This window comes from Homo sapiens, chromosome 7 (genome assembly GCF_000001405.40).
Source record: "Homo sapiens chromosome 7, GRCh38.p14 Primary Assembly".
Taxonomy (NCBI): Eukaryota; Metazoa; Chordata; class Mammalia; order Primates; family Hominidae; genus Homo; species Homo sapiens.
Window position 1 is genome coordinate 51,753,594 of NC_000007.14, and position 22,371 is coordinate 51,775,964.

General features: G+C 38.8%; 2 annotated features.

Annotated features, from left to right (window-relative positions):
* Nucleotides 20,306–20,807: an enhancer, noted in NCBI's record as "H3K4me1 hESC enhancer chr7:51841595-51842096 (GRCh37/hg19 assembly coordinates)". NCBI's record gives its function as "activates a minimal SCP1, AML or CMV promoter by ChIP-STARR-seq in primed H9 embryonic stem cells {active_cell/tissue: H9 hESC(primed)}" and the evidence as "EXISTENCE:reporter gene assay evidence [ECO:0000049][PMID:30033119]".
* Nucleotides 20,808–21,307: an enhancer, noted in NCBI's record as "H3K4me1 hESC enhancer chr7:51842097-51842596 (GRCh37/hg19 assembly coordinates)". NCBI's record gives its function as "activates a minimal SCP1, AML or CMV promoter by ChIP-STARR-seq in primed H9 embryonic stem cells {active_cell/tissue: H9 hESC(primed)}" and the evidence as "EXISTENCE:reporter gene assay evidence [ECO:0000049][PMID:30033119]".

Here is a 22,371-nt window from a genome sequence, read left to right on the forward strand (position 1 = left end):
ATTTATGATTTTCCTCCCAAAATCAATTGTTTTTACCATACCACATATATATTAGGTTTTCTTTCAGATAAAACTTTTCAATAAGGAAATAGTAGTTAAACTATCTTTTTCTATCATTAGCAAACCACATGCAACATTTCTTCAGCAGGTGAAAAACAATGTTAGGGTTTTTATCTTTTATGGAACACTTTTAGAAACTCATCCCAATTTGAAACAAAACACCAGGGAAGTGTGCTGAGCACTCTGAGGTATACCCCAAAGCACAGTTGCCATGATCATTATCATGTCTGTTCATATTAACCCTCCCCGGAATATTTCTGTGAAGCCACAGCAAAAAAACACACTTGAGACAGAAGCACATTTTAAAAGCAAAATTCAAAAGTTGGGGCAGTCCCTGGGGCTTGATTCTACGGCAGATAACATTAAAATGGTACTTTGTGTGCATTGGGCAAGGGAGTGGTGGCCTCGCTAATCACATAGCCCCGCAGGGCTCAGCATTGGCATGGCTGCTGTTATTCCACCAATATGCAAAAGTAAGACCCCAGACCTGCAGATGTGGTTTCAGATATCTCACCAATAATTCTAAGCACGGACTATTAGAAAGTGATTAACAACTCTATGTGCTTTCATCTCAAGACTGTTATTTTCTCTTCCTCGCGGGGACAAAGCCCAGGCAGCTGTACCCTGTTATTCATGAAGCTGTGGTAAAGTAGCTGGAGATTTTGCCATCTTAATCGGCTCCATTTCAGTGAAATAATAAATGCATGGGGGAAATTTTAGAAAAGAGAGGAAGAAAAATAATACTACAATCCAAAGCCTATGGCATTAAGCAAATCTTCACTTCCCAAATGTTTAATTCATAAAGAGCAACAGGTGGCAAAAAATAAAAGTTTATTCACACACACACATATCTGTGCACAAAGACCCACATTCATAATTGAAGGCAGTTATTTTGTCTTGGGGTACATACACATATACATACCTGACTCTGTCTCTTTCTATATATATATATATATATATATATATATATATATATATATATATATATATATATATATGTATATACAGTTATTCATCACTTAGTGAAGTGATGAATATATATACAGTTATTCATCACTTAGTGAAGAGGATACTTCTGAAAATGTGTCCTTAGGTGATTTCATCATTGTGTGAACATCATAGAGTGCATTTACACGAACTTAGGTAGTACAGCCTACCACACACCTAGGCTCTATGGCATGGTCTATTGCTCCTAGGCTACAAAGCTTCACAGCAGGTAACTGCGTTGAACACTGTAGGCAATTGTAATACAGTGGCAAGTATTTGTGTATCTAAACGTATCTAAACATAGAAAAAATACAGTAAAAATATGGTGTGATAATCTTATGGGACCACTGTCTGTGTGCAGTTCCTCCTTTGCCGAAGCATTGTTATCTGGCACGTGCCTATATAATGTATGTGTGCTTTGTTTCATTTTATATATTTTCAATTTGCATAGGCTAATATAGAAAAGGTGGATTTAGAGAGTTGGTACCGTGAATACACAGGCAGTGTTACGCCCTTCTTTTTAATACATGTTTCATTTAAGGAGCCAAAAAAGAAAGAAAAAACAACGTGCCCAGAGAGGGTGGTATCAGAGATGAGGGAGATGCTTTAGGCATAGCGGCATCTGATTTAGTTGAAAGTGTAATTCTCTGCATGAAAACCTAAAATATTTGAAATATTTTCATCTGGGAAAGGAGAATTTCTGCGTTGAAAATAAGATTTTTGTTTGTTAAAACTTTAAAGTTAATTTGATATTATTTGGCAAAAGTTTTTTTTTTTATTTGTTTTTGTTTTTGTTTTTGAGACGGAGTCTCACTCCATAGCCCAAGCTGAAGTGCAGTGGCACAATCTTGGCTCACTGCAAACTTCACCTCTGGGGCTCAAGTGATTCTCCTGCCTCAGCCTCCCAAGTAGCTGGGACTAGAGGGGTGCGACACCACACCTGGTTAATTATTTTGTATTTTTAGTAGAAATGGGATTTCACCATGTTGCCCTGTGTGGTCTTGAACCCCTGAGCTCAGGCGATCCACCCGCCCCGGCCTCCCAAAGTGCTGGGATTACAGGCATGCGCCACCGCACCCGACCTGGCAAAACTTTTTGAGGAGGCTGACATCCACATCTTCTAGTCTCTCTCTTTCTCTCCAGGTGCATGGATACATGTGTGCATGTCTGGGTGTATGCATGTGTTCGTATTTATTACCACCAGTGTTCAGAAATCCTTTAGCCCTGTTCTCCTTGTTTTTCCATTCATATTTTCATGTCTAGGAAGGAAAACATGGGGAACAGAGGCCTGGGAGTGGGGAGGAGTCATGAGACCATGAGGATCCCTTTAGGAAAATGCTCTCATGACCCTTGCAGCATTTTGACTATGCACCAGGCCCCTGGAATTTCTGACTCTAGTTGAAGAGACATAGTTTTAGGGTCAGAGCTTTGATTTGATTACCATAGAATAAGGGATAAAGAAATTGGGAGTTCAACAAAGGTTTGCTTGCCTCTCTATTCTTTTATTAATCTAGGTTTTGTTAATCGTAGAATGATGGAAGAGATAGAGATTTTTTTCCTTTCTTCTCTATAACCTTCTCTGTTTTCACTATTTTTATCAACATTTAATTTTGAAGAAATTCAAGCATATAAATATACCACAAGAATAGTAAATGGTCATCTGTGTCCACCTTAGTTCAACAATTGAGGGCATTCTGTAATAATTGCTCTGTATGCATGTCTCTGTCAACCTATCTCTATCTGTCTATCTGCATGGAGCTAATACCCTCTAAACCAAGGAAACAATTAAGCTGCACACATCACATCCCATTTTATTATTAGATTTATTACTAATTTATTCTAGACTAGCCACCCTACTGTTTAATTTCAAGAGTTTGAATTTGGGGCATGTAGCATTTGTAGACACTGAGCTCATCTGAGTGCTTCCTTGGTGGGGCCACTGACTGCTTCTCTATCCCCTGATTTTCTGTAACTGCTAAGTGTGGCTCAAAGGCTTGACGAGAATCAGACTTAAAATTTAAGTGATACTTCACAGGGAATGCCATGCACTTCATTATGTCCATATTTTAAGAACTGAGTTAAACCCCTGATTTTTAGGACTAGAAAACATGTGGTGACTCACTGTAATCATACTCTTAGTTGTGACTTTTAGTAAATATCAGAGCAGCAAGATCAACTTAAGTGCTTCCTCCTTAAAGTGAACCCCTACATAAAGCAGTCTGTGGACCCTCGATTCCCTTACTCCACGGGAGCTGCAGAAGCTTTTGCTTCTTCCCTTGCCGATACTGTCTTCACTTCCCTAGCTTGACCATCCAGAGCAAGGGGGTCACAGGGCCTTTTCAGCACAGTTGCATCTTCCCAAGTTTACAGATATTAGGGGTAAGACAGCCTGCAAAACAGTGATTTCTAAAAACATTGTTTCCTCTTTAATTCCTTTTTGTTTTTTAAAATAACGTTTATTGTGCATATTTGAGGTTTACCATGTGATGTTATTTGTATACATATAGATAGGAAAATGTTATTATAGTGAAGCAGATGGACATATCTATCATCTCACATGGTTACTTTTTTGGTAACAAGAAAGGCTAAAATCCACTTATTTAACAAAATTCCCAATACAGCATAATTTTATTAACTTGAGTCCTTAAATGGTACATTAGATCTCTAAACTTGATCTGGTTTGAACTTCTAGATTCATACTAACTCCTCTGGCTAAACCAAAGGCTCTTTAACTCCAGCAAGCATCAGAATCCCCTGGAGGGCTCCTTAAAACACAGATGGTGAGCCCCACCCCAGAGGTCTCAATTCAGTAGGTATGGGGAGGGATCTGAGAATGTCTATATCTAACAAATTTCTAGGTGAGGATGTTGTTGGCCCAGGGACCACACGTTAAAATCACTGAGCTAAAGGATACACATTCTCACAGTGGAATTCCCTGCGAGTCATCCTTTAGGCCAAATTTATGTGTTAACAATTTGAATAAATCAGAAGTGGAGGAAGCTCAGGATTTGGTTCTAAGACCTGTACTTACATTTATGAGTTTCCACTCCACATTTAACTTCCTACTTTAATCTGTTTTCTTATTTGTTAAATGAAAATGCTAATACCAGATTATCTCATAGGCTGGAATATATAATAGATCAACTGAGATAATGTATGGGAAACCATTTTTCAAACTGTAATCAGCTAAATTCCTTAAAACACCACTGAGGTACCAGCTTCTAGATGCCACAGCTCTGTGAAACATCCTGGGAGCAAACCCAGAAACAATTAAGTGTGAGAAGACAGAAAAATCAGATTTTATTTACTTCTCAGTCATAGTGATAGAAAATATTAATGACTATTAAGAGACGGTAAGGCACAAGAGGAGAAAACATTTAGGCTGCCTACGACATTTGATCTACATTTTTCTCAATATCGAAATGATTGCCTGGATGTAAATTCGTGACCTTTGAACAGTCCAAGAATTCTCATAGCTTATACCTTTATGTGACTATTCGTTCTAAAATGCTGACAAGCAGAATGTTGGCCCATGGAGGCTGGGCTTCAGAGTTGGGCAGACCCACCTTCAACTTCCATTCCCACCATTCATGCAGTGCACAAGCCAGGTACTGTGTTAATCCATTTTGTGTTGCTACAAATTTATACCTGAAACTGGATAATTTGTAAAGCAAACAGGTTAATTTGACTCATGGTTCTTCAGGGTACGAAAGAGGAGTGATGCCAGCATCTGCTCAGCTTCTGGGGAGGCCTCGGGAAGCTTTTACTGGGATGGAGGAAGGTGAACGGGGAGCAGGCATGTCATGTGGCAATAGTGAGAAGAAGAGGGTGGGAAGGGAGAGAGGGAGAGAGTGAGAGCAGGAAAGTGAGCTACAGAGACAGAGGATAAGGTGCGAGGCTCTTTAAACAACCAGATCTCGCAGGAACTAACAGATAGAGAACTCATTCATTACTGCCAGGGGGCTGTTCATGAAGGATCCACCCCTATGACCCAAAACTTCACACTCAGCCCCACCTCCAGCATTGGGGATGACATTTCAACATGAGATTTGGAGGGGACAAACATCCAAACTTTGGTACCAACCTTTGCAAGCCTTCCTTTTCATCATTCAAAATTTCATAATCCTCTCTAGAGGCTAGGTGACTTTTTGTGTGTGTGAAAGTACATATCAGATGACCTAGTGTAGGATGAGTATTCGAGAGCACTCAATGGAAATGTTTTTATTCTATGATGTTAAAATAATAGATGATAGTACTTTTTGTGGCATAGATAAAATTCATTACATGAAATATATCAAGCGAGCCAAGAAAAATCTAGGTACTGATTATATTTATAGATCTTGAAGCAACTGTGGTGTTCCATAAACATTTAGAATTATTTATATAGCCCCCCTCTAAGTTCAATTTTTATGCTATTATGATTTATGCTGCTCATGTTTTCTCATTAAGGGGTTTTCTGACTTCACTCTGAACAACTCTTCCCAGACTGACTAGGCCATAAAATACGGGACTCATTTTCTTTAATTTATCGTTTATGGTCTGGATAATCCTCTGTGTATCTCATTGTGATCGACTGCCGTTCCAGCAGAGCAGCCACTCTGAGGGTCTTGGCAGAGCCTGAGAATCTAGGAAATTTGGAGCCCTGGGCTGCCTTGAACACTGACCGCCCTTACATTTACCCAGATCTAGGCACACGTTTAAGTCGCATCAACCAAAATTTGTTAATTGCCTTCATTTGCCCAACCTTGCCACTGAGTAGAAGCCAAAATTTGAGGTCCTTCAGGCTTGGGTTATTCTCTTAACTTGCTCCTTTTGTTCAAGGATTGGTAAAATTTCACATTTAAGGGCATGCATTTCTTCCCACGTGTTGTCAGGACCAGGCTACTTCTCCCCTTTGTTTTCTATGGTCTGTCAAGCACACTGCATCCTGAAATAAAGCCACAGCTGATGGCAGAGGTAAAAACTATGAAAAGTGAATGGCATGAAAAAGACTTAAGGAAAAAGGAAGGACTCCAGGAGTGCAGAAACAGCTAATGAAAAATCAGAGACCTCTGTCAAGACCATTAGATATAAAAGTCCAAAATATCAATAACTTAAAGCTAGTTTTAAATAAAAAATAATCCAATTCAGTAGCTTTTCTCTTCTAATAGCCTTGATTATGATTCAATGTAACATTTCAAAATTATAGTTTGGAGTTTCAAAGCCTTAAAAAAAGTCAGCATTCACTGAGGGCAATAAATGAATTAATTGTTTAGTTTAGTCTTGGCTTTGACATATTATGAAATAACTCATTGAACAAGTCCCTCCTGAAAAAGTTACTTAGAGAAGAATCAGTGGACTCGAAAGTAGAGTTTCATTTTGTGCACAGATCATGGCACCTGTAATACATCTCACTTTCTATCATTTGAGAAAATGGGAAACAGAAAGAAGCAGTAAGCTCATTTAAAGCAAAGGAAGAAAGAATGGGTGATTCAGGCATTTTACCCTGAAATTTATCAATCCGTGGGCAGCCTAATGGGGAGTCCTGAGGGAGGAACCATTTACACAGAGAGATTTATTGAGCCAGCCACCGTGGCATGTGTAGGAGCTAATGAAGATGCTAAGAGGAAAGAATTAGCTTCAGGACCAGAGAGTGGAGCTCATTTCAGGTAAGAAACCAAGTTCCATTAAATGCAGAAAATAAAAAATAACAGAGACTATGGATGATATTTTAACTTCAAAAATTGGAGCTGTTGGTATTTGGGATGTAAATCAATTGACAGTACAAGATGGGGTTTGACTGTAACTAGTCAAAAATTTAAAAGTGGAATGTGTAGAATGTTTCAGCTGGTTACTGACAGTGAATTCCATGCATATCTGAGATGGGAGGTACAGAAATGTCGATTGCAGGAGGCAGAGAAGTATTGCCCACACCTCTGGCATCCCAGCATCCTATGGGTCCTACTTCTGTTTTCCAAGCCAAAGGCTCTGCAGAACATTCAAAAAAAGAATTGCAAAACCCTAGTTTAGTTGTTACCTTCCAGTTCTGCAGAACTGTGACCAGTCTGTATGTGTGAGCTTGCATTTCTACATTTGTTTTTTAAATTTTTAAAAAATTATGGATATGCAATAATTGTACATAGGTACATATGATATTTTGATAAAAGCATTCAATGGATAATAATTAAATAAGGGTAATTGGGGTATCCATCACTTTGAGCATTCATCATTTCTTTGTGTTAGGAACATTCCAATTCCACTATTTTAGTTATTTTGAAAGACACAAGAAATTATTGTTAACCATAGTCTCCCTACTCTGTTACTGAATACTAGATCTTATTCTTTCTGTTTTACTGCATTTTTGGACAGAAAAATTGTTCTCAGTGACTACTTTGCTGAACGATAATAATCTTGACCTTTCAAACCATGCTTTTTTCAGCTAATTTTTCTTTATTTTTCACTCGGTAGTTTGGGCAATTGTGTTACAGTAACCTTTTTTGGTGCTACTGTTTTATAATTAAGATAATTTCTCTGTGGTGAGGTTTCTAATGAAATCATTCAAGAAGCAGTTATCGAGTGCTCGCTGTGTTCCGAGTGCTGCTTCCTCCCAATTAGCTGCGCTGAAGACGAGGATTGTAGGAAATGAGGGAGCATCTGGCACCGGAGATGCTGACTCCCAGGCCCACCTCCAGGCCATGCTGGCAGGTGAGCAGCTCCATTTGAGATGGCCAAGGGGAAAAGGTTTTCATGGCAGAGACAGGTTTCAATCAATGTCAGCATTGGCAACATAATATAAGCTCTAGGGGGACTTCTGCTGTTGAATTATTTCTTAGGGATAAATACCCAAGAGTTGGATTAATAGTTCAAAAATTAATAACTTTCTCTTAGCTCTTGAAATGTATTACCATTATGTTTTCCAAAATTGTACCAATTTGCAACATTATTGAGAAGGAATTAGTGCGGTTCTGTTGTCTCATTTTGGATTAAGTCCTAACACGTATTTAGATTTATGTTAATTTAATAGGTATGAAATTGAATTTCTTTGTTGCTTAAATTTCTGTGCCTTCATTACAAATGTTCTTGGACATTTTCCATGTGTTTCTTTATTGTTTCTATTTCCTAATTTGTTATGGTTCCACTCATAATAATTACTCATTTATCTATTGGAGTTTTGATAATTTTCTTGCAATTTTAGAAGCATTATTATTATGAAAATGATACTTGCTAATTGTAAAACAGCAAATACTTACAGAGAAGCATAAATAAAAGGTGAGATGCTTCCATTCTACAGAGGCCTGATGCTGTTTATGAGGGAACAAGAATACAGACACGCTCGTTTCCCGAGGATAGCAGGGAATAAGGGAGAAAGACTTAAAAGTCCCACTTCCTAGTTAACCGCCATGAAGTGGTAACAATTTGTGTTACCAATTTTGCAAATAATTGTCCATTTTGTTTTTGTGTCCTTTTTATGGAGTTTGTTTTTTCTATGCAACAGTCACTTTTTTGGTTATAAAATCTATCAAAGACACTTAAAAGTGACTTGGACTGGAACATAAAATTGTTTAAGTTCTGTGGGATCATTGCAAACTCACGCTCCATTGATGTCTGACAGAGTCTTATTTGACTAAAGAAATGTGACTAGCAGTGGTGTTGCAATATTCAAGTAGAAGCTTTGAGACATTGTGCGGTTCTACCATGTTCTCTTTTCTTTATCCATGGCGTTGGAAATGTCTTCACAGGGCCTACTCCTTCACCAGGACTGTCAGATAAATACTAGCAGAACAGCAACCAGCCACTGTGCAATGTACATGTAGCAGGAGGAAGAAATGCATGTTTTGCTTCTAGAAGTCATTGAGATTTTAGGGATCGTTTACTAGCACCATGTAACTTAGTCTAAGCTTCCTGATAAAGTCACATTCCTTCTAAATGGCATTTCATAATTCCCAAGTTTCTTATTCTTTGCTATGCATTTGTGTTGCTGTTGTAAACAACATGCCTTGTTTTATTCTGTTTTCTTCTGGACCATTGTTTATACAATGCAGTGATTTGTACTTATTTTTTTATGTTGCAAAACCAAACATCTGCACTATGAACAATATCTTTCAGTTCCTCATTTCTTCCATAATGTCCACTACTAGGTAGCCACAATTCCTTACATGCCTAATAGGTCCCAAAGTTAAGTCTAACAGACCCCTTGTTTGAGCACCAACAGTATACTGTGCATCTCAGCCTGGATTTTTATAAGTTCATCAGTGAACCATAAAAAAATGAATTCTTGATATTACTCCCCGATACTATTATCTGCCCAGGTTTTCTATCCTAGGTAACAGCAGTGGCAGCACGGAGTCACCTAAGCCTTGAATGCAGGAACTCTCCTTTGTCCTCTCGTCTGCTTGCCATTGAGCCTCACCTCCTCCACTTTCTACCTCACTAAAACAGGCCACCATCTCTACATCTACATGGTAGCTGCCTTGTTTCAGTCTCTTACCTTTAATCACTTACATAGCTACTTTCTTCTCAGCTATCTCTAACCCTTTTTTCTTGTTAACGTCATTACCAAAGTGATTTATCTACAGCTCATTTTTAATTACTTTGATTTATTTTCTATGGTTTGCCATTGTTTCCAGGATAAAGTCATTGAATTGTATTTTGTGCTAATTGACAAGAGCATTTCAGTTTTGTGATTGCATTCCCTATTATTTGAGGTTCAATAGACTTAACAGTGAAAAACAGGCAAGGCATGGCATATTTGCCTAGCAGGGTACCATCTCCTTGGGAGTCAGCACAAGCAACTGGGGTATGTAATACCATTAGAAATAAATCGTGATTTCTCTTGGCTGCCCGTGACAATGCAACACTCGGCTAAAACAGTTGATATTGACCTAGTGCCATATGCCTTTCATGGGTTATGATACACAGTTCTTAGTCACAAGAAATTATGAACCCTGAAACACTCACTCTTGCCTAAAATTCCCACTGAAGTGCTCTTGTATCTCTTGGGAGTCACTAACAACAGCTTGCCATGATCAACATGCACACAGGATTGGAAGGCTGCTTTCCTCCTCCTGGAAGAGCAAAAATATAATTGTAGACTTCAGGGATTGGCCACATTATGATTTGTAAGACCTCCCATGATATAGTTAATATTTACTTATCCTGCCTTATTCTCAGTCATTCTGCCTTTTCATTCAGCAATATTAAATTGTCTAGAATTAACTGGTTTTTGCTCATATCTCCTCGCCTTGTGCCATTACATGAACTTTCCTTTTTACTTAGGATGTCATTCCTTCTCTTTTCTGTCTGGTAAATGCCTCATCATACATCAGTTTAGTGCAAAGACCAGGTATCACACACCACACCACCCCACTCCCATTCCCCTGAAGCATGATAATCTCTACACGCCTTCTGTATTTATTATACATTCACGGTGTATTTTGCATAGTTATCCACATATTTATCTCCTTAATGAGGTTATGGACTCTTTTCAGAAAAGCTATTTGGTTTGATTCATCTTGTCCAAATAGGCACTCAATAAAATGCTTGCTGTTTAAAAGAAGAATGAGGGCAAAAATAGGGAACCTTTTGGCCTCTATATTGAAAAACTCAAAGAAAAACCATTTCTATATTGTTAAAATGCTCTAAAAATATCTACCAGGTCCATATAGTAGTTCTAATAATCAAAGGGAAGTTACCTAATGAAAACAGCTGACTAGTTATAAAGGAAGTATCATTTATTATTTGCCAGTCTTTTGACTTTTATTATGAAAATGTTAAGCACATAGAAAAATAGAGAGTATAATAATGTACACACTCATATGCAGATTTAAGAATTGATATTTTTTTACATAAGTGCTGTATTTTTGCTGAAATATTTTAAAATAAGTTCTATTACATCTGTTTAGTTGTTGAATTGGTTAGGTCCCATCGATTGATGGTATTCTTGAATTCTTCAATGTTCATGCTTATTTTCTGTCTAGTTGTTCTATCAGTTGTTGACACAGGATTTGCTGTTTTCCTTTACAGTTAATGAATTTGTCCATTTCAGTTTTCAGTTTTGTTTTATGCATTTTGCATGTCTTTTGTTCATTGCATACACATCTAATATTGCTATTACTTCTTGGTGTATCAGCCCTTTTTTCACTATATGTATCCCTCATTGTGTTGGCTAAACTTTTTTTTCTGAAATCTACTTTATTTGATATTATATAATGAATCCTACTTTCCTTTGATTAATGTTTATCTGATAGATCATTTTCCATGCTTTTGCTTAAAACCTGTCCAGATTGTTAACATTTGAAGTCAGTTTTTTAAGGACAACACAAATGTTAAAACTTTTGTAAGGCCAGGCACGGTGGCTCACACCTGGAATCCCAGCACTTTGGGAGGCTGAGTTGGGAGGATCGCTTGAGCCTAGGAGTTGGAGGCCAGCCTGAGCAACATAGGGAGACTCCATCTCTACAAGAAGAAAAAAATAGTTGGGCATGATTGTATATGCCTGTGGTTCCAGTTACTCATGAGGCTTGAGGTGAGAGGATCTACTTGAGTCCAGAGGTCGAGGCTGCAGGAGCTGTGATTGCACCACTGCACTCCAGCCTGGGTGACAGAGTAATACCTTATCTCAAACAGACAAACACTTTTATAACATCTTATATAAGAAATAGTTTTCCTAACACTGTATAATATAGAGAGCTTCCTGAGGCTGTCTTCATTTTCTTTTGATTTTTTTAAAAGTATAGCTTCTATCTGTTGTTCAGACTGTAATTTCTATTGTTCTATTTTTATTTTGCTAATTCTTTCTTCTGTCCCCTCCATTCTGCTGTTGAGCTCATTAACTGAGTATTTTCTTTTCTTTATTGTATTATTTAGTTATAAAATCTCCATTTCACTCTACTTTACCTCTTCTTCTATTTCTTTGTTGAAATTTTGAACTTTAAAAGTTTATTTAAGCATGTTTGTAATTGTTTGTCAAAGCATATTTATGATAGCTGCTGTAAAACCTTTGTCAGATGCTTCTAACATCTCATCATCTTGGTGTTGGCAATGACTAATTCTTTTTTTCATTTAGCTTTCTTATGTTTCTTGATATCATGAGTAATTTCTAACTGAAATTAGACATTTTCATATTGCGTTATGAGCATCTGAATCTCATTTAAATGTTCTGTTTTAGATGGTTTTGTTTGGCACTGCCTCACTACTGCCATGTGGATAGAGGTGTTCAGGTTCCTCCTTCAGTTCCCCCTGACACCTGAGGGAGAATTCCCTTTATTCTGAATGCGAATTCTTGCTCCCCATGTGATCTTCACTCACAATGTCTTGAGGGTGGTCTTTTTACTATTGGATGATGGGGAAAGTTTAGACTCCTCACGAGTCCTCCTCTGGCACCACCCTCGTGGAGAAGGGCATAGAAATTCAGGTTCCCCATGTGATACCCACTAACATTCTCAGGATAGAGGCAGCTCCCTAGTTGATCTTCTCTGACTTGACCTTGCAATGGATGTTGGAGTAGTTCATTATAGTCTTGCTAGGGTGGCAGTCTAAACTCCACACTCAGCCTTGCAGTATGGATGAAGATAGTGCCATCGTTTTTTTCCATGGTTTCCTTGCTTATTATGCAAAAGTTTTCCATCTTGCTCTCTTTCCCCTTTCCTACACCTTTGGCTAGAAAGAGCAGAGCTTTTATTGGCGCTGTCTTTCTTCATGTCCCTTGGCATTTCTGGTTTACTGACTTCTTCAGCTCCAAGTCAGGGATATATGAGACGAAAAGAAAACCTAGAGAACTTACTGCCCTGTAGTTGCTTGGATCCCAACATCTCTGGACAACCTGCCTTCTTCTCTACACCTCTAAACACAGAATTTTTCTGTGTTTATTTTATATATAATGTCCAGGAATTTTACCTGTACTTCAAGTTAGTTGAGACTACGTTTAGTTGTGTAGGAGGAATATAAAAAACTATGACTGTTCCATTTTTCTGGAAACAGAAGCCTCTTCTCTCCTTTCTTTTCTTTTCAATTTACCGAAGAATCTTGCTATGCTGAAAATCAAGGAAACTCTCAAAAACAAACAGGATACGGACAAAGGGAAACAGGAGCTAGACTGCAGGAGACTCTATGGGGCAAAGCAGGGACAATTAGGATATCAAGGAAAAGAAGGCGACTGTGATTGACGGAGACACAATAAAAAGATTCTATCTGTGAGTGAGTGTGTGCATTCCTTCATTCTATAATTATATTCACAAAATAGAAAGCCACACACACACACAAAATCAAGATTGTATCTGACATGATTGGAGGTGACTACACTGACTCCTTTCTCTGAAAATATATAAAGGAAAGAAATTAGTACTAAACTGCTTTTCCAATACAACTGTATTTCAAGGTAACCAAAAAGGTTAATTTCTTGGCCAAAAGCTCTTGATATAAATATAAAAGGAATTATTGAATATAGTAATTCCCACTTTACAAATCCTAATGTAATAATTGATTCAAGCAGTCATCATCAGGGGGCGATAGGATCATTCTGTGAAAGTTTGTCAGAAAATGGAATGTTCACATTGTGCAAAATTATCATTTCACATATCATTTTCTCATCCTGAGTAATGCAACACAACTTCAAAGGAGAGATCTGCCTGTTAGTGGCTTAACCAGAGATTAATCTCAGCATCAGTACTAGTTACCTTATGTCACTGTGTGTGCACTCTGATGTGATGTAAATGAAGTATTTAGCAGCACCTGTGAAAGACTCTTTCTAAAATCTATAACCTGATCTAGTCAAGTCTTTAGATGTAATTTTCAGTTGACAATACATGTAAAAGACAGGAGAACAAGTCAATATATGTAAAAGACAGGAGAACAAGTTAAATGACATCAGGATGAAATCAGAAAAATCCCGAGGGGGTGTCACTGTGTAGCACAGATAGGTGGTCTTTTCAGCAAGTCCATATATTGGGTAGGAGGATAGTGTTATTTATGAGAGCTTCAGTATAGCTTGGTCAAAGCGCTTTCAGTGGCTGTTAAATACTCAATTTGACCATAGTAATATATTCTCAAGGATAAAAGAACCAGTGATACAAGACATTCAATATTTCCTGATAATCATCTTTATGTAGAATTGATCTCCATAAAGAAGAAAGGTGAGATCATGAAATGGTTATGGCCTCCCTTTAGAGTCTAAAAAACATACTTTGGAAAATCACACAACTAATTTTCAAAGGGATGCTTTAGGACTTGTTTCTTTTCTTATCCTGGGTGAGATGGTCTTGATACGCAAATGATCAGAAGACGCAAATTCTGAAGAGTTCCAGCGCTGCCATTCGCTATTTCAGAGGTAACTGTCAGCATGCTAGAGAGCACAGGTGCTGGGTGCAAACTCCCCAGATCTAACCCCAGCTCCCAGGTGTTAACTGTGCCCTTTGGCAATTTACTAAATCTCTTTATGCTCCAGTTCTTCATGCATAAAATGGAGATAATAATAGTACAAATATCATAGGGTATATTGAGAATTAATAATATATGTAAAGCAGTTAGAAAAAGACTGCCACATATGATGACAATTTTCATTAATATTGCTGTCAGCACCAATCCTACAATTGAGTCAGGCCAGACAAAATTTATCCAAAATGTGCCCTCTACTCTTACGTTCAAGCCTTTCTTCTTCCCAAAGAGGCCTGAGACTCTATGCTATTGACTTTCAGCACATTCTTAGGGCTCTGCTCAAATGTTGGTCTCTTTCTGAAGTCGTCTGTACTACCTTCATCTGGAAAGTGATCGTACTTTAGCTCATGCATAAGGATTTGTTACTACCTCTTCTATGATATTCATGCAGTTTTATTTGGTATTGTAGTTATCATCTCACTTAGCATGCCTTATGTGGTGGGAGCAATTTGATTGATTTAATTTTTAATTCATTGAATTCTTTCAACAACACTCCTGCTTCTTTTTCTTACTCATCCCTTTTATATTTGGGGGAAGCTGTGGCACAAAGAGGTTCTCTAATATGCCCAAAGTCATTGCTCGGAAGGGGTGGAGCTGGGATTTGAACACAGTCTATTGTGGATGTTGAGCAGAGAACTGTACTGTACAGGAATCCTGAAGGCAAGGACAGTCCTAGAGAGGATAATCAGGTAACAGCAGAGCTATTTCCATCCGAGACCTCCACTCCTTTCAGCCACACAAATAAGCATGCTGTAAGGTAGAACAATGAGGAAGCTGCTGACATGTTTCAAAGCCTGTGTCCCCTTCTCTATGTTGGGGAAACTATTTGACCCAATCGCTTCCCATAGGTGCCACACAAAAAAGAGGTGGTCAGAGCCATCAGCTTTATGACAGTTCCTGGCCCTCACCCAACATATTTACCTTTCTCTCCTCAGTTTAATGTGTGCTGTGTTGGAGAACATCTTACCTAGGAAGTCCTATTTGAACATAATTGTGCAGCAGCAAATGTGAACTTGAAGTAAAATCTTGTATTACGTGAGCCCTGAAATGCAAATCTAGACTTATTTATTCCAAATTCTCAAGCCAAAGTGATTAGAGAAGCACACACCTTGCAGGTTAGATCCCAGGGGACCCTACTGAAAAAAGCAGCTGAGCTTTATTGATGCATAAATCTTGGCTATTACTTTCTTCTGTTTCTAAGTGATGGATTCAGCATTTGGCATTATGTTTGCTTTGTTTGCTGAGAAGCTTCATCAATTGCTTTTCATTTGTTAAAAAGTTCAACAATCAAAACAGATGACAGGTAGGTAAAATGAATTCCTCTCATAGATTTTTGAAAGTCTAATTAGATGGATATTTTCAGATGTTGTTAGAATTCAAGGACATTGACCTTTTTAATTGAGAAATGAAATCAATTGTATTGGAAATGTCTTCCAGGTCTTTGATAAATTATGGGCTATCCTCGCTTGACAACTACTTACCATAGAAAATGGGGAAAAATTTAATTCACTAGCAAACTGTAATTCACATGATTCCCTCTGAGTAATTTTATACAAAGCCACATTGAAAATCATATTGGGCTTGGCTCCTTCTTTTGGTTAATGAAATCCCACTCACGTGGATTGTGTCATAGGTGAAGAGCGTTCACCTGGGACCACATGATTTCAGTCAATCTGTTTGGTGATTGACTGGCCTATACCCAACAACCCTGGTACTGAGTATGTCTGATAACTCAGACTTCTCTCCACCGGCTTCCCTCCCGGTGCATGAATTTTTGATGAAGTGAATTATTTGTTTACAAACTTGTATTGAAGGTACTGATACTATAACGCATTATCAGCAATACTGTGGGTACCTATGTGAACTTTGCTGCTTTGTCATGGTTCAACACAGCACTCCACGTCATGGCCACATGTTCTGTGCCGGCAGATCAGGACCCTTGTAAGCATCACTTCCTTCTTGCTCACTGATCTCCCGCCCCACTGGCCTGCTTGGCCACACTTGCTGTTTTCTCTCCCTTGAGCCCTCTGGTGCTTCTTTCTTCTGTAACCGTTTTATACAACTAGCTCCCATAGATCCCACATACAAGCAGAGGTGTTCAGCATCACAGCTGTGGGCAGCACTGCAGCTGTTCCTGCCTCTCCCTGATTCCTAACCTTCCATCCTACATGCGATTCTCTCTGGAGTTCGACCTGTGTTCCATCACCAGATCGTCTCCCCGAGAAAGTCCTGTTTGAACGTGTCTCTGCAACATAACTGCTTCACCCCTTGACCTTGCCTTCTTTTTCTTATGCCCCTTCTACCATCTGACAGTTATGGTTAGTTGTTCATTAGTCTTGTATGTGACACGTTGCCATTCTTAAAGGCAACCACCTTTCTGCTCCTGTTCACTGTTGAATCCCCAGTCCCTATGATGGTGCCTGGAACATGATGTGGGCCTCTTACTACCTATGCAGCCTTGGGCATGCCATTTAACCTGCTGGACTCATCTGTTTAATGGGGAGACTATTAGTACCAACTCATTGCAATGTTGTGAATGTTAAATTTATTATTATAGGAAAAGAGTTTGGAAAATTACCAAGCTCTTAGGAAATTGAGCTCACAATAAATATTAGCTATTATAATTATTTCCATAATGTCTTTTAATTTTCAAAGTAATTCCCATTTATTATATTGTTAAATTATTGTAACAATTTTCAGAGGCAGAAAAGCATTTAAAAGATGAACACACTGAGGAAAGGGGGATGCTATGTATTGAGCTAGGACAGCACAGGCTGGCCCCACAGCTCTCCTAGTCCCTACTCTCCCAGTCCCTAACCTGGCCTTTCACAGTTCTCTTCATTCTTCATCTTTCAAGTTAATAACAACAACCCCTTCTTTTCCAAAATGATACCTCTGACTCAGATCACCTATTCCTCTTGGGTCATTATATATATATATATATATATACACACACACACACACACACACACACACACACACACACACACACATATACATATAATATATATACATATATTAATAATACATAATACATATTATATATATATAAATATATATACACATATAATGACCCAAGAAGAATGGGTGATCTGAGTCAGAGGTATCATTATATTATGAGGAAGCTGCTGACGTGCTTCAAAGCCTGTGTGCCCTTCTCTAGGTTGGGGAAACTATTTGACCCAATCACTTCCCATAGGTGCCACACAAAAAGAGGTGGTCAGAGCCATCAGCTTTATGACAGTTCCCAGCCTGCATCCAACATATTTACCTTTCTCTCCTCAGTTCAACCTGTGCTGTGTTGGAGAACTTCTTACCTAGGAAGTCCTATTTGAACATAATTGTGCAGCAGCAAATGCGAACTTGAAGTAAAATCTTGTATCATGTGGGCCCTGAAATCCAAAGCTAGACTTAATTATTCCAAGTTCTCAAGACAAAGTCATACGAGAAGCACTTGTCTCTGCCATAGAACTGCTTCATATCTTCACCTTGTCTTATTTTTCTTGTCTGGTATGAAAATATATCATTTTGATACCACTGACTCAGATCACCTATTCCTCTCGGGTTGTTATATATATATATGTTTTGGCTACCTTCAGGCTTCAGGCTTCTGAGTTACTAAAGCTTTCTGGATTTTGATATCCACATTTAAAATATGTTTGATATGTAGTGTCTCTACTAACTTTGATAAGGTTGAGGATGATAACGATGATGATGATAAGTATGATGACAGTACTCTTTAGGTAGCATTTTATTATGTACCCATTACTATTCTCAGTGCCTAGTAACTTTGCTATTCCCCAAAACAAGCCTTATAAGAAAGGTGCACTTTTCTGTGTATGTGTGTGACAGAGTCTTGCTCTGTCTCCAGGCTGTAGTGCAGTGGCATGATCTCAGCTCACTGCAACTTCCACTTCCCGGGTTCAAGCGATTCTCCTGCCTCAGCCTCCCCAGTAGCTGGGACTGCAGGTGCACGCCACCATGCCCAGCTAATTTTTGTATTTTTAGTAGAGAGGTGGTTTCACCTTGTTGGCCAGGATGGTCTTGATCTCTTGAACTCATGATCCTCCCGCCTTGGCCTCCCAAAGTGCTGGGATTACAGGCATGAGCCACCATGCCCGGCTGAAAGGTACACTTTTAATTCTCATTTTACAGCTGAGAAAACTGAGACACAGAGCGTTAGGATTCTCAGCAAGTCCAACTCCAGAAGACATACCCCTGGCCCTTATTGTTTCTGCCTCTTGGAGAGAGCTACTGTGGTTCTTGCTGAGTCAGCCAACACCCAGACTATTCCCTGATCCTCTCTCCCTTGAAAAGAAACTGCTTCTGGGCTCATTATGGAGAGGCTACTGTTTCAGTTCTTGCTATTCTGATAACCTCATCTGTGCTGAGAAGTCAGCAGATGAAATATGCTCATGTATGATTATCCCAGAAAGTGATTTTCCATTGATCTGAAAGGCTGCTGGGGAGAGTTTCTGGCTCTATCAAAGAAGAGCATTTATTCTGCCTGTGTCTTCAAGCCTCGTTTCACTTAAAAGAACAAGCCAAGATGAATCAAACACAGCATATGACTTCAGATTTGACTTATTACATGAAAGACTTGATTCCAGCATCCCAAAGAGACTAATATGTTTCACGATTATGAGCTCTGGATCACAGTGAAACAGTCCAATATTCCTACCAATTCCGGGACAAAGTAGAATAAAACAGTCTTCTGAATATATGACACAAAACACGTAATCCCAAATAATGATTACTCCACAGACATGCTGCCTTCTGTGAAAATGTGAAGTTTGACCTTTTTTTTTGGTTTCAAATTTCAAATGCATGAACTCTTTGAACTCACAGAAAGGACATTTGAAATGTGCAAGAAGTTTCAGCTGAATGAATAACCTTGAATTACAAGTTTAAATGTATTGATTTATACCACACTTTAGTTTTCAAATGTATTTGGGCTTTTGGTTTCCTTTGAGGCACTCTGGGGACTCCTCAATCTGTTCTCTTCTAATGACCGTGGTCCTGCTTTTCCTCTGGTGAATATTTTAGTCCATCTGCATGCCAGCCTAAAGAAATGGACCCCTGCAGTGCTTTCCACCAACGTGTCTGCGGTTTGATTGCATCTTCCCTGGAGGGCTGCAGAGTTTTAGGGCACTCACGGAGGATGAATCTCATATCAAGAGAGGAAGGTTGCTGGAGCAGGTAGAGGGAAATAATGATGGGTTTCTGAGGCATGCACGTGTAATGTGCAAGGAGCAGTCAAAGCACTTCCTGCACCACATTAGGCTAGAAGCATATGATTTAAAAAATAAAATCAGCCCGTTCATTCGATGAGGGGGATTTGGAGGGAATACAAGATGAAGCTTTCCTGTTTCTTGCTCCCTTAGGGTGCTCTTCTTGGTACAGATATCACCTGATTCTAACATGAAAATGGAACAGCAAGAGGAACTGGTGAAGGGCCTGGAGTTGCTTAAAATTAAGGCAGCCGATGGGCGTTTCTATTAAATCATCTCTGAGTCCACCTGGATTCTCTGTTTCACTCTGTTGCCCATCTTCGGGTCAGTAGGTGGAGCACACAATTCATTGCAGTCTCCCTGCTCTCAAGTCCGCCTTCACAGGGAGAGATTTTCAGGTCATGCATTTTCATGCTCATGTATTTCTTGGCATATGAAACCAAGTTGCTTTCCTTCCTACAGAAGTGTGACTTTTAAAATAAAATATATCTCCCTTGCTCCTCCCCAATCCCATTGCTGTTTCCATTATAAACCTCTTCTCATTGTGCCTTGGTGCTTCCTAGGAGATAGTGTTACCTTCACTGCATAGCAGTATATAAACACGTAGGTCTTCGGTAACAACAATCTTTCTTATCTTTGTCTAGAATACTGGACATCTCTCACATGTTATTTATATTTCTTAGAAGATGAAGTCTATTTCATTCAGCTTTGCTGCTTTGTTGCAGCTTTTTTCTTTTTTCCTACGATCTCCAGGTTCATTTTTCAAGCCACTTGGTCAAATTAGGTGGTCTCTAGGTGATCAAACTTTGCTATATTTTTGTGAGATGCCTGCCCATTAGAAGTCATTTATTCCTTTATCTTAAGCATCAGCTGGAAAAAACAAACCTTTCAGCAACACCATCTTTATAACCTTGCTTACTTCTCATTTTCTCTTTTCTCATCCAGGCTGTGGATCCCTCCTGTAAACCAAGAAAAATGGAAATGTGGCCTTTGTTTGACAAAGGCCTTTCTTCTGCTTCCCAGGTATCATCAGATCCCCTTGTGACTCAGGCGAGTCAGGCTACAGAGGGCAGCTGCGCTCTGCTGGGGGCTCGGCTGTGGAGCAGGAAGAGGCCCATGAACTCTGCTCTCCTCTTGCTTGGCGCACTGGCCTGACCTGCACTCAGCGGCCACAACCTTCCATTACAGCTTCCTCGGGGCCCAGATATTGTTCTCATAGCTTCAGGTATGAGACAGAGTTTATCCACTTCACACTGCATGCCACAAAAGTGTTCAACAACGCATCTGTAGTAGCCTCACAGATCAATGCTGTCCGTAAGCTTAGTAAAGGTATTTCTGGCTCAGGGGCAAGATATAATTTTGTGTAAGTTTTGCATATTCACTTGTATAACTATGAACATCAACTTTCAGAAGAAAGTATAAGAATATGATAATTGAATGAATGTCTCTTATTGCTATTGAACTCAACATAGAATAGGTTATACCTGAACTATACAAGTTATAGTTAACAAAAGAATTAGTGAATATTTGCTCACCTGTAAAATGGGCACTGTAATAGTATTTGCCTCATGTACTTCTCGTGAGGAGTAAATGAAGTGGTTCGTGTAAGGCTTTTAGACTTGTGCCAGAACTGTAAATATTATTATTATTATTTAAAATTTTAATTATTGTATGTATTTTTAAAATTTGTTTCTTGACAGGTAATAATTGTATATATTTTGGGGTACAATGTGATGTTTTGAACTCTATATAGTCTACAATGGTAGAAAGAGTAAATCAAGCTAATTAACATAACAATCACCTTACCAACTTATGATTTGTTTTTGTGGAAAGAATGTTAAACAACTATGCTTTTAGCAATTTAAAAATATACACTACACTTTTTTTCAAGGAGTCTTGCTCTGTCGCCCAGGCTGGAGTGCAATGGCACGATTTTGGCTCACTGCAACCTCTGCCTTCCGGGTTCAAGCAATTCTCCTGCCTCAGCGTCCTGAGTAGCTGGGATTACAGGCACCCCCCATCATGCCCGGCTAAGTTTTGTGTTTTTAGTAGAGACGGGGTTTCACCATGTTGGCCAGGCTGGTCTTGAACTCCTGGCCTCAGGTAATCCACCCACCTCGGCCTCCCAAAGTGCTGAGATTGCAGGAGTGAGCCACCGCACGCAGCCTATACACTACATTTTTTTTTTCAACTTTTAAGTTCCAGGGCACATGTGCAGGATGTGCAGGTTTGTTACATAGGTAAACGTATGTCATGGTGGTTTGCTGCACAGATTAACCCATCATCTAGGTATTAAGCTCACCATCCATCAACTATTCTTCCTGATGTTCTCTCTTCCCCCATGCCCTCCAACAGGCCCCAGTGTGTGAATTATTTTTTAATAAAAGAGAAGTAAGGAGTTTAGAAAATTATCTATTTTCTAATTCAGGCAGCACGCCTTGCTTTTGAGGATGGAGACATTTAGGTAAATACTGGGTAGTTTATTAAAATCAGTAATATAGTAGATATTGATATTCTATATTCAGTAGATTGATCAATTATGAATAAATATTATTAATAAATCTGTTGGTAAAATCCGTATTTTCCTGGAAGTCATCAGCTTAGGGATAAATTCAGTAACCCTATTTTAAATAGAGTAGTCCTGTCAATATAAATATCACAACCCCATCTACTCAAAAAATAT